Raw genomic sequence first — 18,569 nt, forward strand, 5'->3', positions numbered from 1 at the left:
TTGCTGCACCTATCAACCCATCATCTAGGTTTTAAGCCCTGCATTCATTAGGTATTTGTCTTAATGCTCTCCCTCCCCTTGTCCCCCACCCCCAACAGGCCGCACGATGTGTTGTTCCCTCCCTGTGTCCATGTGTTCTCATTGTTCAACTCCCACTTACGAGTGAGAACATTCAGTGTTTGGTTTTCTGTTCTGGTGTTAGTTTGCTGAGAATGATGGCTTCCAGCTTCATCTGTGTCCCTGCAAAGGACATGATCTCATTCTTTTTTTTTTGAGATTTGAGACGGAGTTTCGCTCTGTTGCCCAGGCTGGAGTGCAGTGGCCTGATCTCAGCTCACTGCAACCTCTGCCTTCTGGGTTCAAGTGATTCTCCTGCTTCAGCTTACTGAGTAGCTGGGATTACAGGCACACACCACCACGACTGGCTAATTTTTCTATTTTTTTAGTAGAGATGGGTTTCACTATGTTGGTCAGGCTGGTCTCGAACTCCTGACCTCGTGATCTGCCCGCCTCAGCCTCCCAAAGTGCTGGGATTACAGGCGTGAGCCCCCACGCCTGGCAGATGTACCATTTTTTAATAATGAGAGTGTTTTAAACCTACTCTTAGCAATTTTGAAATATACAATGCATTACTATTAATGCTAAGCAATAAATCTCAGAAACTTATTCCTCCTGTGTAACTGAAGCTTTGTACCCACTAATCAATATCTCCCTATTCACCACACCCCAATCTCAGTCCCTGATAACTACTATTATCCTCTACTTACGTAGTTTGACTTTTTAAAATTCCACATATTAAGTGAGGTCATGCAGTGTTTGTCTTTCTATGCCTGGCTTCTTTCACTTAGCATGTCTTCCATGTTGTCACAAATGACAGAATTTCCTTTTTCATTGTGCAGGTATAACACATTTTCTTTATCCATTAATTCATTGATGGACACAGGTTGATTCCATATTTCGGCTATTGAGAATAATGCTGCAATGAAATGGAAGTGCAAATATCTCTTCTTCAGCATAATGATTTTGATACCTTTGCATATATTCCCAGAAGTGAGATTGATAGATCATATAGTAATTCTATTTTTAGTTTTTCAAGGCACCTCCATATTATTCTCCATAGTGGCTATACCTATTTACGTTCCCTCCACAGTGTTCAAGTTTTCCCTTTTCTCCAAATCTTTGACAGCTCTTGTTTAATTTATAAGAGACATTCTAACAGATGTGAGGTGATATCTCATTGTGATGTTGATTTGCATTTCTCTAATGATTAAGGATGTTCAACATTTTTTCATAAATCTGTTGGCCATTTGTATGTCTTCTTTTGATAACTATTCAAATCCTTTGCCCATTTTCAATTGGATCATTTGCTTTCTTGATATTGAGTTATTTGAGTTTGTGAATATTCTTAAAAGCTCCTGTTTTAAAACCAAAGTTATCCCATACATTTTCTAGTGTTGCCTTAACCTGGGATACAGACACAGGCAAGGTGGATAACTGTAGGAATGAGCTGCCTTTGATGCATGTTGTGAGCATGCTGAAAGGATTTGGGCCTCAGGAAGGATCAGCATGGAGCTAGAAGCCACGAATATAGTTGTTAGGGCTGTTCTCCTGTTTCCAAGGACCACAGGCCAGCCCCTTAGCACAAGGAGGAGAGCTCCTATAGAAGGCATTCTTCCAAGCTCATCTGTTCTCCTTCAGTTGGATAAGGATGTAGGCAGAGGTGTCACTTTGTGACTTTACCAGTCCCTGTCTTATGTGCAAAAGGGAGAACCATGTTGATCCTTTTTTTTTTCTATTTTTAAAGCATATTTAAGCTATTCCACCGCTGTTTTTAAAATACTTATTCTGTTAAACAATTCTTTCAGAAAAAATTTGAATATTCCCCTTCTAAAGTGCACTTGATTGGCCACAGCTTGGGAGCACACCTGGCTGGGGAAGCTGGGTCAAGGATACCAGGCCTTGGAAGAATAACTGGTAAGCATGCCCTGCAGTTGGGCCTTGAGTGTGTTTAAATATTGTTTACACACACTACCAAGTATCTGAACACCAAGTAATACTGCAGAAGAAAATATAAGATACTACAAAATGTGATTCCAATGAAATAAAACGTGAACGTGTTTTCAGAGCAGAAATGTGCAGATTCGCTTCAAGGGGGTTCATTGCAGCGTTGTCTGTGGTGACAAAGTAAGAGAAACTATGTGTTCCCTCACCCGCAATTGAATGGTTGAAGCAATTATAACACATTCCATCCTTTGGGATTTCATACCAGTAATGCAAAGAGTGAGGTTTACCTAGACGTAGGAGTAGAATGGTGGTTATGAGAGGCTGGGAAGGGAAGAAGAGAGGGGAGGCTAAAGAGAAGTTGGTTAACAGGTACAAAAATCCATAGCTAGAAGGAGTACATTCTAGTACATGATACAGAAATTACAGTTAACAATAATTTATTACATGTTTCAAAATAGCTAGAAGAGAAGGACTGTAATGTTCCCAACACGAAGAAAAGATGAATGATTATGGCGATGGATGTCCCAATTACCCTGATTTGATCATTACACATTGTATACATGTCTCAAAATACCACATGTGCCCCCAAAATATGGACAACTATTATATATCAATTTTTAAAAGTTATTTTTAAAAAGAATGAGTTTGAATCCCACTGATTGTCCTGGACGTTCCTGACACACTTGGACTGCAGCTTACTCAGTTGTTACCATTTTTAATATTATCCCTGGATATACCGTTAAGTCTAAAAATAAGTTGCGGAGCAAAGTATATAGCATGAATTGGGTTTGGGGGTATAATAATTAATCATGTCTCCTCCCCACATTCTGTTTTCCAAACCAATTGTGTGAGATGGATGAAGGTCAAAGCAACAGCTCCTTTACCAACAGGCGGGGCTGGCCTCTCCCTCTGCATCCCCCCACCAACAGCCAGTAAGCAAGCCCCACGTCTCCTTCATCTGCCTTTTCCCTGTCCATCCTCTGGTCATTGTCCTGGCTCAGTCCCTCATCTCTTGCCTGCATTTTGGCCTTGGTCCCCGCTGGTGCCCCAGCCTAGTCTTCTACAAATACTGCCAGGCTTATCTTTCCAGGTGCAGGCCATGCCACTCCACTGCTCCAAATCTCTCAGGGTGTCTCCTTGTGTGAAGCCTCTTAGCTTGTCACGTAAACTTGTCATGTTTCATCACAGTTTTTCATGCTCTGTGCCTTTGCACGTGCTGTTGTCCCTCTTGCTGAGCATTCACTGTCCATTTGTCAAGATTCATCTCAAATGTTTCCTCCTCAGGCAGGAATTAATTCTCTGTGCTTCTCATACCCTTTGACATGTGCCTCTTTTGTGTTTGAAAACACAAATATTATATCACATGGTCTTATAATTATGGATGAGCCTGTTATTTTTAACAGAAAGCCTCCTTACTGCATTGACTCCAGGCTTGGCCACAGAAGCGTATTTTCTCTTTGTTAAACTGCTGTGCTCTGTGTGCATGTGTGTGTACGTGCTCGCTCTCTCTCTCACACACACACACATACATGCACACTTTAAATTCAAATCTCAATTTAGAACACAGTTTTTAAAAAAATACCTAGAAGTCCAAATTGGGATTATTTTGTCTCTGCAATCTGTTGATATAACAGGCTTATTCCTGCTATAAGTCATCTCTCTTCTCCTAACTCTCTGCTCCTAAATCCTCCTCACTCACCTCCACCACCACCACCACCATTCTTATTTAGAATAATAAAAACTGAACTTTTTCACTGAAGTCATTATGTGACCCTTTGTGGTCAATTTTCAAGCCCAGAAAAAAGAAGGAATGAGTTCCTCTTTTGAAGATGGAACCTCATGGGGCCTCACAGCCTCAGGCAGGCTGAGTGAAGCAGAACACATAACTGCATTTACAATTCATACTGGGTTATGATCAATTCAAAGAGATTTTGTTTTTATTAAGTTTTTTCAAAAATCAGATACTATTTAACTCTAGTTTTTCCCATCAGGTGAATTATCCTGCTGGGTAAATAGAAAACAGATTTTTAAAGGTTTTCTGAATGTCCAAAGAATTAATATTATGTGGATGTTTTAATCTATATTCCTCTGAGAAATTAGTTTTTGGGCAATCATGTTCCTTGAGTAATAGAAGAACTGAGACCTCACAAACAGATTTTAGCTGTATAATTAACCACTTAAAAACAAAATTAATATGATAAACATATTAAGGACATACATAAGTTTTTATGTCTTTGGTATTTATGTATAAGTGGTAAGTAGTTGTCATAATAAATATAGTTAGGGGGTTACTCAGCTGATTCTGCTTTTATTTATTTTTATTTATAAACAGTATCAACGCTTTTCTTATTTGAGGAAAAATTACTCTCATTTTGCTGACACACACGTACCAAAATACACATACATACTACACACTCAGATCCTAAACGATTAGTTCTCACTCATGTAGTAAGAGGTCATGTCTGTCTCCCTAAGGTTAATTAATAGGTTGAACCTAATAATTCTCTTCCCTTCTGTAGACTTTTCTCCTGAGATATCCTAGAACAACAAATTCAATGTTCCCTCTTCCTTACGTCTTGGAAAGACTGTCTTTTTTTTTTTTTTTTAATCTGATTGCCTTGTCCTCCAATCAATAAGATCTGAGGTATACCTATCTTGGGATGTTTCTCTCCAGGAATCCTGACTTTATTAGAAAGTTGTGTGTAATCACACTAGTAAAATAAAAATTCTTCCAAGAGTTGAAGATTAATTGTGAGATAAATACTTTTTCCTCTTTGTTAAGCGCGAATGGTTCATTCATATGCATGTTGCATTACTTCATTGATCTCTTTGTCTAAGTGTCTTTCCATCTGTGCTCTGAGTTCCCCCGCTTTGTGGACTTAAGTCATTTGTTCACTTTTTTTCAGGTCTTGTCAATAGAAGCGCTGTGCTGAAACGAACCCCTTCCCTCCTGGCCTCTCATTTCCTTCTAAATGATGCCCTAGCCTATTGCATTCCTCTAGATCCAAGCTCCACAAAGTTGAAAGTGGAGTGATTGCATTTCCTTAGGGTTCATTCTCTCCTTGACCCACTGCTACCTAGCTTCTTTCCCCAAAACCACTATTGCCAGATCACTAGTGGCTTTTTGTGGAACTCTATCAGACATTTTGACTCTGTGTTTTACTTGACCCCTCTGCAGAATTTGTCCCAGTGGACCCCTCCCGCCTTGCTGAAGTGCTCCCTTCTCTTAGCTTCTATGATTCCGCATCTTCTTGGTTGTCTTTGTTTTTTTGACTCCCTCTCTCCAGGCTACTTCATGAATTTCTTTTCTTTTGCCTTTGCCTATCTGTTCATATTCTTCAAGTTTCCATTCTAGGCCCACTCTTCTCTCCTGTTGCTTTTCTATAATCACTCTTTTAGTGATTATATTAGTCAGAAAAATAAAAAAAAAAAAAAACACATCCTATGACAAGCTAAGTGTGCTGAGCACACACCCCAGACTGTGACACAGACATTCCTTCCTTGCTGATGCCACATTCCCAGAGGTGTCAACGGCAATGCTACTCTGCATCCTTCCCACTCCGGGATCCAGCCTCTATATCACAGCAAAGGGATTTTGCTAAAATATAAATCTGATCATAAATCTCCCCTGCTTGCAAGCTTACAACAGCTTCCCATTGATGACCACATCATGTCCAAACTCCTTGACATGGCTCAGCTGACATCTGGCTCCTGCTAGCAATACTACCTTCATCTTCCACCGAATCCTAGAACTCTACACACCAGCCTTAGCAAACTAGTTACAGTTTCCCAAACACGATGCTTTCATCTGGAGGCCGTGTACTTCTCTGTCCTCCCCTGGGTTGCTGGCCACCTTACCTTTGCCCTGGCCAATTCTTCTGGCCCTTCAGATCTCTACTAGTGTTTCTTTTCTTTTTCTTTTTTTGAGATGGAGTCTTGCTCTGTCACCCAGGCTAGAGTGCAGTCGCACAATCTTGGCTCACTGCAACCTCCACCTCCTTGATTCAAGTGATTCTCCTGCCTCAGCCTCCCAAGTAGCTGGCGTTACACGTGCCCACTACCATGCCTGGCTAAATTTTGTACTTTTAGTAGAGACGGGGTTTCACCATCTTGGCCTGGCTGGTGTCGAACTCCTGACCTCGTGATCCACCCGCCTCGGCCTCCGAGGGTGCTGGGATTACAGGTGTGAGCCACCGCGCCCAGCCATGTTTCTTATCTCTTGCAGAAGCATGTCCTAGTTCCGCAAGACTGGGTTATATGTGGCTTCTCTGTGCTTGGATAACACTTATGATCACCACTGCCTCTGCACGGAGGACACTGACTGGGGTGCCTTTCCCATCAAATGGAAAATCCCTTGAAGACAAAGCAAGGTCTTATTCCTCATATCTGAATGCTAAACCTAGTTCCTGGCACATACTAGGTGCTTGACAAATAATTGTCAAATACAGAAATGATTGAATATGTGAAAGATCATAACATTTTAAAGAATTCCAGCTATCTTGCCCTTATTTTACGAAACATTTGAACATGACGCAATGGGATGAGAGTCTGGACACCTGGCCTCTTAGTCCAGTTTGCCTCTAACACATGATAACCTTGTCCAGTCACTTCACTTCCCTGGGCTTCGGGCTTTTCATTTGTATTACTATTAATGAAAGTAGAACTAAGTGAGCCATAGCTCAGGACAAGGATTCTGTTATTTTAATTGTGTTGCTTTGTAGATTCATCTTTACACATCAAAGAGTGGTTGTGTTTTTAATTTAATTTAATTTTTTGCCTACAAATGTTGCTTTTCAAGAACCTTTGTAATTCATAACCTTATTGTATATATGGTATTCCATATACAGACCCTAGAATAGCCACTGTGATTTTTTTAATTTGTTAGCTGTTTTGGCATTGTCTCAACATAGCATTACTTATCTGTAGATACTTGACATTGCAATATATAGAGACCCTACATTTATAGATTTAGGTTATGTATCTGTACTTTTTCCTGAGTGATCTTTGATTGATAGAAATAATGTAGGAAAGGACACATGCTTCCAAAGTAACAACAATATTAATGTGCACTTCCATAGAACATGTCTTGGTTGTGCTTTCTCTAGGGTTGGACCCAGCTGGGCCATTTTTCCACAACACTCCAAAGGAAGTCAGGCTAGACCCCTCGGATGCCAACTTTGTTGACGTTATTCATACAAATGCAGCTCGCATCCTCTTTGAGCTTGGTAAGTTTTAACAGAATCAGAAACTTCATTGAAGCATAGAGGAGATTTTTAGAGGCATTTACCCTGTTTTTATTTATTTCAGGTGTTGGAACCATTGATGCTTGTGGTCATCTTGACTTTTACCCAAATGGAGGGAAGCACATGCCAGGATGTGAAGACTTAATTACACCTTTACTGAAATTTAACTTCAATGCTTACAAAAAAGGTAAATACTTTCTAAACTATGAATGCTACTGATGCATATTCACTTAGCTCTCTCCTTAGATGGGATCCACCTACTTTTGTGTATAATATACATATAAAATGTATTTTCTCTCAAAACACAGTTGCATATAAGAAGCTCTCCCACCTGTTCTCAGATCCACAAGATCGGGTACCGTGTCTTCATTAACTTTGTATCCCTGGTGCCTTATCAATCTCTAGCATATTGCAGTCACTCAATATAAACAAGGAAGGTGTGTTATTCACTCAGCAAATATGTATTGAGTGTTTACTATGTGCTAGGCATTATTCTAGGAACAGCAAATATGGAAATGAATACAAAAGACAAAGGTGCCTCCCTGATGGAGTTCATTTTCTAACTTGTTAGGAAACCAATAAATAGTGTAAGAGCTAAGGGGACAAAATAAAGCATTGAAGGGGAATATGATGTGTTGGTGACAGTGAAGGTAAAGTAGAAGAAGAAAATTGTTGACAGGATGGTAAGGGAGTCCTTACTGAAAAGATGACCTAAAGGAGTTAGCCTTATAGACACCAAGGGGAGAGGCATTCCAGGCCAACAGGGGGAAGCAAGTGTAAGGGCTGAAAACAGGAGTCAGCCTGGCAGGTTCACGACAGTGAGGAGCCTGTTGTGGCTGAAACTAGGTAAAAGGAAAGAAGTAGGGCATAAGGTTGGAGAGGGAACCAGGCAGAGGGCAATAACACAGGACTTTGTGGATGGTAGAAAAGACTTAAGCTTTCACTCAAATGAGATAGGAGCCATGAGTGGATTTTGAGCAGAGAAGAGACGTGGTTTGAGTTACTTGTAACAAGAATCACTCTGGATGCTGTAATTACAAATTAAACAAGTAGTATTTAACTTTTTATAGTAGTTTCCAATAATAATAGTTACAATATCTATATGGCATCAAGTTAAAAGGCACCGAAAGGTTATTATTTGGGAAATTTGTTCTTCCCTATCTCTACATTTCATCATATAATTAATGAAATACATTACCCATAATATATAATAATAATAATATATATATATATGATGATATGATAATGGATACCTGGATGATTCTGAATATCTCATAGCCCAATCCCCTGTAGTCAAGATATCAAGGAGTTGAAATTACTTGCTCTTTCATTTGGCTGTTGTAGAGGAAAGATACAGAGATCATAGTATTGAGTGTAACTCAGGTATCTACTTCACTAGAAATAAATTACAAAGGTTTAATATTTGCTCTGAAAGAGAAAATGTGATCAGAAGTATATATTTGTAATGACTATATTTTAAAAACCCACACAACTGTCTAATCTACAGGTGCAACAAATAAGAATTAAGGCCAATTTCACCTAGTTCAGATAAGCAAAATTCATACAAAAGAGGCATATTATAAAATTGATTTTCCCCATTATTTTCTATATTACGACTATGAATCCTTTCTATTAGGACAAAATATAGCTCAGAAGACTTCATTACATAATTAATTGTTATACACAGATCATATGAAATTTTATGAAAGATTAATTCAACTAAAATATACATTTATCATAAGCTATCATTTTGAGACATTTTAAGATTTCCTATAACTTTATTGGATTAAAAGAACATTTATCATTCATGTTAAACCTTTGGATGAGTTTTAAGACTTCAAGATGTTCTATTTTACTTAAATTTATTACTAACAAACCATTACTTTTAAAATTAATAGTTTGCTATATTCTAATGAACCGTCTTGTCTAAATCACAATTAATTGTGAATATAAATCTATAGATATACAGAGACCTAATGTAAGAGAAGTCTTTGTTTAATAAAAATGGATGATGCCAATTATTAATCTGTGCTGACGATATTACATTATTTCTGAAACTATTCTGTCTCAGTTCTCTATTGTGTAACAAACCACAGTGAACAATTACAAGAAAAATTGTTATTGCCCAGCGTTCTGAGGGTCAGAATTCAGGCAGAGTTCTCCTGAGATTCTGCTTCGTGTGGTGTTGGCTGGAGCAACTCAGGTGACTGCATCCAGTTGGGGGCTGAGCTGGGCTAAGCTGGATGAGGAGGTCTGAGATGACCCTCCGTGTCAGGAACCCTGGGACTTGTTCTCCTCTGTCAGGTGGTCTGTCATCCTTCAGGACCTCTCTCCCCAGACAGGTAGCCTGGATTTCATAATATTGCAACTGGGTTTCAGGACAGTAAGAGTGGATGCTGGAAGGTCTTTTAAGGCCTTAGAACTTAACCAATGTCAGTTTCTCCACAGAACTGATCTTGGTTCTTTGCTACTGGGCAAAGCAAGTTACAAGATCAGCCTGTAATGGGGCAGGGGTATTTTTAACATGGCCTCCATGTTGAGAGAAGGAATGGTTACATAATACTGCAAATGGGTGAGGACCCAGGAAGGAGTCATTTGTTGGAAGCAATTATTACATAATAATTATACTGCATATGCTAAAACCAAAATCTAGTTTCTCAAAGATTGGCTAAGCTGTGTAGGTCATTCAAAGAATAGTCCACGCCATTCAGTAAAAATATTGTTATGTAAAATAAAAGAAAGCATAAATGGCTGGGCACAGTGGCTCACACCTGTAATCCCAGCACTTTGAGAGGCTGAGGCAGGAGGATCACTTGAGACTTGAGGCCAGGAGTTCAAGACCAGCCTGGGCACAACAAGATAGTGAGGCCTCATCTCTAAAATAAAAAAAGAAGAAGAAGAAGAAGAAAGAAAAGAAAGAATAAATGACTAGAATGTTATGAAAATTTTGGAATGTGCAGATGTATTTAGATCTTATTATTATTCCAATAATCCTAACTATTGATGGCAATAATGTCATGCTTGATAATGACAAAACTAATTCATCTTTAGCATTCTTTATAAAACCCCCCACTTGTTACACCTTTAACCCAGCACTGGTTCACAATGCTGACTGTTTTGTGATTGAATAGGAGGGAGTTCAGTTATTCTTGCAGAAACAGAGAGGCAGAGTCTTAACTGGTCTACAATGGAGATACTATATGCACAGGGATATTGTGTCAGAGGTCCTAGTGATACAGGATTTTTTTCCATGCTGCTTCACCAGCCAGAGACCTCCACAGCCTGCAGTGCCTCTGCTTGAGTTTCACTTGCACCTGCTGGGCTCACCACTGGACTTATCTCACCCACTTGGCCTGGCAGCCTGTGCTCAGCTCACTCTGCTGACCTGGATCTCACACCTGCCAAGGGTGAGCCAGGCATGCCCACTGCTGTGGTAGGGCAGGTGGCTTCAGGCCAGTACAGGCACTGGTTCCACACGAGGCTGTGGCTGGACCAGGCATACTGCAAGCAGCTTCCACCTTGGGCACCAGCTTCTGAACGAGGGAAATGTGGTGGTGCCAAAAAAACTTGGAGATGGCAGGAACCACGCAGCCCCAAAGGGGGTGTTACATACAGCATGTTACAGCTGTGGCTTAGGGAGCCTTGAGGTCTAAGCCCCCAGGAAACATTACGGCTTGTTTGTGTTACAGCTCATTTGTTCCCACCCTCTGCACAGTTCAGCGAATAGGGGTGTGTCTCACATTGTTTGATCCCATTGCTGTACTCCAGACCACAGCTCTTGGGCTGTCCCAGCCCCACTGCAGCTTCCTGATGCGTGGGGTGGGATGGCTACAGTGTTTCAGCAGCTCCTTTGGCACCTGCTGTTTGGTGGGTCTCAGGTTCTTGTCCCACGTCCAGGAAGAAAGAGGTTACACAGACAACTGAAGAGTGAGCATGGTGGAGAAGAGTTTTATCGAGTGACCAAACAGCTCTTGGATGAGAGGGGAACCCAAAGTGGGTAGCCCCTATCTGAAGGCAGGTAGTTCCCACCCAAAGGCAGGTAGTCCCCAGAGTGTGGCTTAGTCTGGGCTTTTTATAGGCTCAGAATGAGGGAGGTGTTGGCTGTAGGTAGCCTTGGAAAAAGCAACATTAGATTGGTTAAAAAACCTTGTTCAGGCTGGGTGCGGTGGCTCACACCTGCAATCCCAGCACTTTGGGAGGCCTAGGTGGGTGGATCACGAGGTCAGATCAAGACCATCCTGGCTAACATGGTGAAACCCCGTCTCTACTAAAAACACAAAAAATTAGCCGGCGTGGTGGTGGGCGCCTGTAGTCCCAGCTACTCGGGAGGCTGAGGCAGGAGAATGGCGTGAACCCCGGAGGTGGAGCTTGCAGTGAGCCGAGATTGCACCACTGCACTCCAGCCTGGGTGACAGAGCCAGACTCCATCTAAAAAAAAAACAAAACAAACAAACAAACAAACAAAAAACCTTGTTCAGAAAGAACCAAAAACGTTGTTCAGGAAAGACCAGGCAAACAGGAATCGAAGTTCTCACTCTGGTCAGGGACTTTACCTGGAACTGGCAGCTTCGTTTTCAGGCTTCACACTGTTTTTGGCTTAAAGGTTGGGTTTCACTGAGGACACACCCCTATCTGCCTAGGAAATTGTCTGCCTCCTGCCACTGTCACTAGGAAGTGACTCAGTATATTTGTGTCAAAGCACAAAGTCATTCACATTTGCTTTTGCTTATTTCCACTTCTTGAATGTCCCTTTTGAGTCACATAATTCTTTGGTACAAATAAAATTATATGTAACTTTGATAAATGTACAATATCCAAGCCTAGACAAAAGGTCTGGCCCTCCCAACTCAAGAAGACTGCCACTTACAGTTACTGTTTCTAAGATATGGTTTATGCTACCAGTTATCAGTTAATTGCTATCAGTTAATTGGGAATTGTTTTCACAGAAATGGCTTCCTTCTTTGACTGTAACCATGCCCGAAGTTATCAATTTTATGCTGAAAGCATTCTTAATCCTGATGCATTTATTGCTTATCCTTGTAGATCCTACACATCTTTTAAAGCAGTAAGTAAATCATCTTACTTGGAATTTAATTATAAAGTAATTTTTTGAAACACAATCATCCAGCTAAACATTAGGGCTTTGTGTAGGTAGCAAAAAAAATGCACCTGCCATTTTGGGAAATAATGGATTGTTTCTGTGCTGAGTACTGAACAGTAGCTGGGATTGCTGGAGGGTTGAAATAACTCAACCAACTATTTGTATTCTGGTTGTTTCAGCTCCTTTGAAAATTATATACAATTTTGCTTTTTTGGCCATTTGTTATGCAGTAATTAGATGTTACTGTGTAACAGGCATAAGTCTAGGGCAAAAATATTTCTGCATATATATTTTAAATGTCATCTTCAAAGATGCCCTAAGAAGGCTGAACCAATCAATAGCTACAACCAAACATATTACTATTTACTTGGAACATGAAAATTATTTTATTAAAATTTAATTATTTATACAGAGCAGAACTAAAGCATAGATAGCTCACAGGAGCTCTACACAGATCAATATGTGACAAACTACCAAATCTGATTTTACTTGAGTAAAAGAAAGAAAATCTATTTTGTAGTGGGAAGTGGAAAAGATCTTCATTCTTGTGCTTTAGAGACCTAATCCCCTGTTTTATCACGGTAGAAAATGTGGGCTGTTCAGCTGAAGTTTATGGTAAGTAATAGTACTTCGTGAATAAGTGCTGTGTTGTGACATGAAGAAGCATGTCCCTTTTGCTACAGAGCTTGGCAGATGGACGGGTTTAGGCCATCCTGTCAGTTTCCTGCCATTCTTGGAAAGCTTGACAGCCAAACAGTAGCATTTTCCACATATCCTCCTTGTCCCCGACCTCTCTCTTCTTCCTGCCTCGGCTGCTACTCTGAGCACCCACGGGATCCTGGCATTTACTTCTAGGAGAAGCAGGCCCTTGGAGTCTTTGTATATTTGGAGATAAGAGTTAATCTGCCAAATTGGAGTACCCTTAGAAGCTAGCTCATGCCACATGGATGCTACTTGTGGTTACAAACTATTAGAATGAATCAATTTCCTTGACGTACTTTATTGTACTGTACCCTAATAGTCATACAATCAAAGTGTGTCAGAGCCAGCTGTGGCATGCACCTGTAGTCCCAGCTACTTGGGAGGTTGATGCAGGAGATCTCTTAAGCCCAGAAATTTGAGGCTACAGTGTGCTATGATCATGCCTCTGAATAACAACTGCATTCCAGACTGGGTGACAAATTGAGACTCCATCTCAAAAAATAAATAAATAAATAAATAGGATGTTACAGTAGCCCTAGCCTAAATGTCTATGGTTTATTAAATTAAAAGTTCAAAGCCTAAAATAGCAAATACTCAAGCACTGCTACCCATGTTTTTAAAATGTTCACATTTCATTCCTTTTCCTTTAGATTTTTAAAACATACAAATAAAATTAAAGAAGCAAACGACCTTATATTCCCTTCAATCCTTCCCCTAAGGCAGAGTTGAATTTGATATGTATCAAATAAATGCTTTCATATTATGTTTCTGGATTTGCTGTTTTCATTAAATATTATAAATATAAAATTTGAAATTTACATTGATGTAGATAGATCTAATGTATTTATTTTATAGGAATCAGGCATAATTTATTGATTAGTTCTCCTACTAATGTGAGTTTTTATTGTTTCCAGTTTTTGTTATTAAAAGTAATGTCGGCCGGGCGCGGTGGCTCACGCTTGTAATCCCAGCACTTTGGGAGGCCGAGGAAGGCGGATCACTAGGTCAGGAGATCGAGACCATCCTGGTTAACATGGTGAAACCCTGTCTCTACTAAAAATACAAAAAATTAGCCGGGCGTGGTGGCGGGTGCCTGTAGTCCTAGCTACTCGGGAGGCTGAGGCAGGAGAATGGCATCAACCCGGGAGGCGGAGCTTGCAGTGAGCCAAGATCGGGCCACTGCACTCCAGCCTGGGCAACAGAGCCAGACTCTGTCTCGCAAAAAAAAAAAAAAAAAAAAAAAAAAGCAACGTCTACCAACTCTGCCATCTTTGTATGTCTCTTTATGTACTTGAGTGGAATTCCTTCATGGCATACAACAGAAGTGAAATTATCAAAGCATACATGCATTTCCTTCTTTATTAGACATTACCAAATCACTGTTTAAAATGTCTATCGATTGCTAAAGAAAAATAAAAATGAAGGCCACAATTTAGATATAACCCAAGGCCACCCATGACCACATAGCCAAAACCAAGTCATCCTGATTTTCCAGAAACACTAGCTCTAATCATAAATGAAACACAAAAACATAAGCTTTACCTCCTTGTCCGCGTGATTCAGGGAAATGAAACCAATCAGCTGTAGACAAATCAACATAAATATCTCTACTTGCCCTAGAGAAGAATGTTAATGCATAATAGCCAATCACCAAAAAAGGTCAAAATACTTCCGCCTTTATAAACTGTCTTGTGACTGCTGTAAGCGGGGGCTTCTTACCATTTTCAGTTTGAAGTCTCCCAGCTCAAGGACTGTTCTTTTGTGTGCAGAGCAAATTTTTAAAAATTAAAAAATTTGATCTGATTATATTTTTGACATTTTAAAAATTATATTCCAGGCTGGGAATGCAGTGAAGAACAATACAACTTTCCATCAGAAGCAAATGAGAATTCCCCTATTACACGTATTCAGTGTTGCCAATTGCTTTAATGTTTGCAAATCTGCTGAATATGAAATTTTACCTTGTTTTAATTAACATATGCTTGACAACTAGTAAGACTGAACATCTTGCATAGTTATTGACTATTTGAGTTTCCTCTTCCGTGGATTGTCTATTCATATCATCTACCCATTTTTCTAATAGGGAGTTTCTCTTTTTCCCTCAGTTGGTTTTGTTTTATTTTTGAAAACAGACATGGTGGCCTGTTAGGCACTTTTAAAATGCATATCCTTTATTTAGATCCTGGAGATTTATTATTATTTAATAATATATAGCGAGTTTATTGAAGGACAACATTTCTAATTACATAAGTAATCACCTTTCATTTTCTGTCATCAGGGAAATTGCTTCTTTTGTTCCAAAGAAGGTTGCCCAACAATGGGTCATTTTGCTGATAGATTTCACTTCAAAAATATGAAGACTAATGGATCACATTATTTTTTAAACACAGGGTCCCTTTCCCCATTTGCCCGTAAGTATCATAGCTAAGTTTAATTGTAATGCTTTAAGGTACTTATCTTTAAAAATTCAACAGTTTTTATTGAGTGTCTACTAAATAACTGGGCATTAGGCCAGACTGGGATTTCAGTGAAGAACAACACAGTGAGGTCTTTAATTGAGTTTAGGCTAGTGGGAAAGACAGCAAGTAAAATCTCAGTTCCAATCCTGCGTAATAAACTTTCTCTTAGGAAACATTCAAGATATGTGCAGAGCATAAAGGTCAGAGAGCCTTTCGAGGAAAAGAGATTTCTAAGCTGACTCCTGAAGGATGAGTAAGAGGGAGAAGGGAAGTATTCCAGGCAGAAGTGACCACGTCTGTAAATGCCTGGAAGTAAGAGAGAGCAGAAACTGAAAGAAGGCCCTGCCAGGATTGTAGAGACTGGGAGGACAGTGATAGCAGATGAAGTGGGAGAGACAAATCAGGTCAGATCATGAGGCAAGGGCCTTGTGTCCCAAGTGGAGAGGTTGGGCTTTGTCTGTGGGTGAATGGAAAGCCATTGAAGGGTATTAAGAATTACCAGATTATTTTTATTTTTAGAAAAATCACTTTAGTTTCTGCATGGATTAGAAGGCCACAAGATGGAAGCAGGGTGCCTGTTACACAATTATTGCCACAATTCAGGCAAAAAAAAAAAAAAAATAGAAGTAGAGAGGTTGCAAAGATAGTTAGAAGGTGGAAGCAAAATGGACCTAGGTGAATGGATTTAAAAATGCAGAAAAGCAAGGAGTCAAGGACAATTCTGGCTGTGGATGAGCTGTCATTCTCTGAGCTTGACGACACAGGAAGAAAGGCTAGTTTGGAGCAAGATGATAGGCTAGTTTCTCCATGTTACGTTGGAGCTGCCTTTAGGGTTTGAGAGTGTGTGTGCACCATGAGGCAGGTAGAGATACGGATCTCAGCCTCTGGAAATGGATGTGTTCTACAGATAGAGAGTTGGGAGTCACTCAGACTGTAGTCAGTGTGGTGAAAGTGGATGACATCACTACCCAAGAAGAATGTGCCAGATAAGAAGTAAAGATAGCAGAGAAAGAGGCCCCTGCAAAGGAGACTGAAGAATGGGCAGAGAGAAGGAAGACCAGCAAAGCTTATCGTTAAAAGAGCCAAGGAAAGAAAGTTGAGCAGGAAGAGAGGAGACATACACCACAGCAAATATATATATATATATAATTTTTTTTTTTTTGAGATGGAGTCTTGCTCTGTCGCCCAGGCTGGAGTGCAGTGGTGCGATCTCGGCTCACTGCAAGCTCCACCTCCCAGGTTCATGCCATTCTCCTGCCTCAGCCTCCCAAGTAGCTGGGATTACAGGCGCCGCCACCACGCTAGGCTAGTTTTTTGTATTTTTAGTAGAGACGGGGTTTCACCGTGTTAGCCAGGATGGTCTCCATCTCCTGACCTCGTGATCTGACCGCCTCGGACTCCCAAAGTGCTGGGATTACAGGCGTGAGGCCCCGAGCCCGGCCCACACCAAATATTTTTATGACTTCTAAAAATGGAAGTCCTGTGTCTTCTTTTGTCTATTTCCTTTGTATTGTGGTCAAATGAGACAGGGCCCCATAGAGGCTCATTGGATGAAGAAACAGTTCAACCCTTAGTGAGCTTGGCTGGGGTGGTTTCAGTGGAGAGACAGCAGGGGGAGCCAGGTTCCAGTAGAATGGGCGGAGAAGAGAAAGAAAATTCTTTGGCAATGATTAACTCATGAATTAAAATTCCTCTCTGGTAGGTTTCTTTCCCCTTTCAATTATTTTCAAATAATCATATGAAGAATTGCATTTTTTCAGTTTGTTATTAAGCGTACAGTAATTTCAGAATTCAGAATAAAAGATCTGTTTAGCTCTAGATGTAAAAAGTCACATTTGGCCATTTGCAAGGGAATGATCTACTGACAGATACTATATTGATCTGTATCTACGTGTACTGGGCATTCTTAGCACATATCCCTGCAGGAGAAGAAGAATGACTCACTTTGCCTCTAAATGATTATAAAAGCATACATCTTCTTGCCCAATTGGTTTCCTAGATTTTTCTGGATTAATTGTCACATTATGGCAAATAAAAACTTGGCTATAGAAAGTATACATACTATATATATGCCACACAATACAAAGGAAATAGGCAAAAGAAGACACAGGACTTCCATTTTTAAAAGTCATAAAAATGCCTGGAAAAATAAATAATTTTCTTTTAAAATATTATTAAACTATTTATTCTGGAAAATTAAAATGTGACCCATAATGTGTATTTTTAAACGTAGTTTTTCACCAAATTCACTGAAACTAAAGTTGTATTTTTGCATGAATATGTGCAGCACTGTTCAAATACAACCCTGAAAATTTTATTTCCATTAAAGGATCCAGGAAGTCATACTTCCCATGTGTTTTTAACCCTTTCTCTCCCTTTCCTTCTTGTTTCCTTATATCTAGGTTGGAGGCACAAATTGTCTGTTAAACTCAGTGGAAGCGAAGTCACTCAAGGAACTGTCTTTCTTCGTGTAGGCGGGGCAGTTAGGAAAACTGGGGAGTTTGCCATTGTCAGGTAGGCAGAGTGAGAAACTGACGCTTTGCACAGTGCTGGGGGCTCAGTAACACTAAGTGAGACTGGCTCAGTAAGCTGTTTAGTCTTCTCTTTTCCTACAATTCCACAGGCTACCATGGTATCTTTGATTTTTCTTTTTACTTCATGTTTTCCAAATATAAAGTAGAAATCATAATATGTATTTTCTCTACAGTTCCAACTAGAAACAGAAAATGTTAGGAAGTGATAACATGAAAATACAGATCTAGATAATAGAGCAAGTGGAAAAAACTGACGGTATTCAAGATATATTTTTAATCCCATTCACTTAATATTATACAAATATAAGCATATATTTTTATTTGTGTCAGTAACAAATAAGACATTTATATAAATTGCTAAATTTCTAATAAGCTGTCTAAGCATTACCCACAGATACAGGACATGTGTTAGAATAGTCAGAGGTTAAAAATAATCCAGTTCAGATGTTCATTTTGTATCTTTTGCTAAACCCTCCTTTTATCTTGAAATTTTCTTAATCTTTTATTTGTTCAGCCTTAGCATTTT

At 39.7% G+C, this 18,569-nt stretch overlaps 1 protein-coding gene across 5 annotated transcripts in view; it reads left to right on the plus strand.

Annotated features, from left to right (window-relative positions):
• PNLIPRP3 (pancreatic lipase related protein 3) overlaps nt 1-18,569 on the plus strand; it is a 50,111-nt gene that overhangs the window by 26,010 nt on the left and 5,532 nt on the right. For 4 of the 5 annotated variants that reach the window (NM_001011709.3, XM_011539279.2, XM_011539278.1 and 1 more), the window contains 6 exons: nt 1,866-1,974; nt 7,110-7,229; nt 7,312-7,434; nt 12,194-12,312; nt 15,329-15,461; nt 17,912-18,023. In NM_001011709.3, coding sequence (NP_001011709.2) covers nt 1,866-1,974; nt 7,110-7,229; nt 7,312-7,434; nt 12,194-12,312; nt 15,329-15,461; nt 17,912-18,023 — 716 coding nt within the window. The remainder of the gene's footprint in view (nt 1-1,865; nt 1,975-7,109; nt 7,230-7,311; nt 7,435-12,193; nt 12,313-15,328; nt 15,462-17,911; nt 18,024-18,569) is intronic. The other variant, XM_011539276.2, reaches the window with a different exon arrangement.

This window comes from Homo sapiens, chromosome 10, assembly GCF_000001405.40.
Source record: "Homo sapiens chromosome 10, GRCh38.p14 Primary Assembly".
In the NCBI taxonomy this organism is placed as follows: Eukaryota; Metazoa; Chordata; class Mammalia; order Primates; family Hominidae; genus Homo; species Homo sapiens.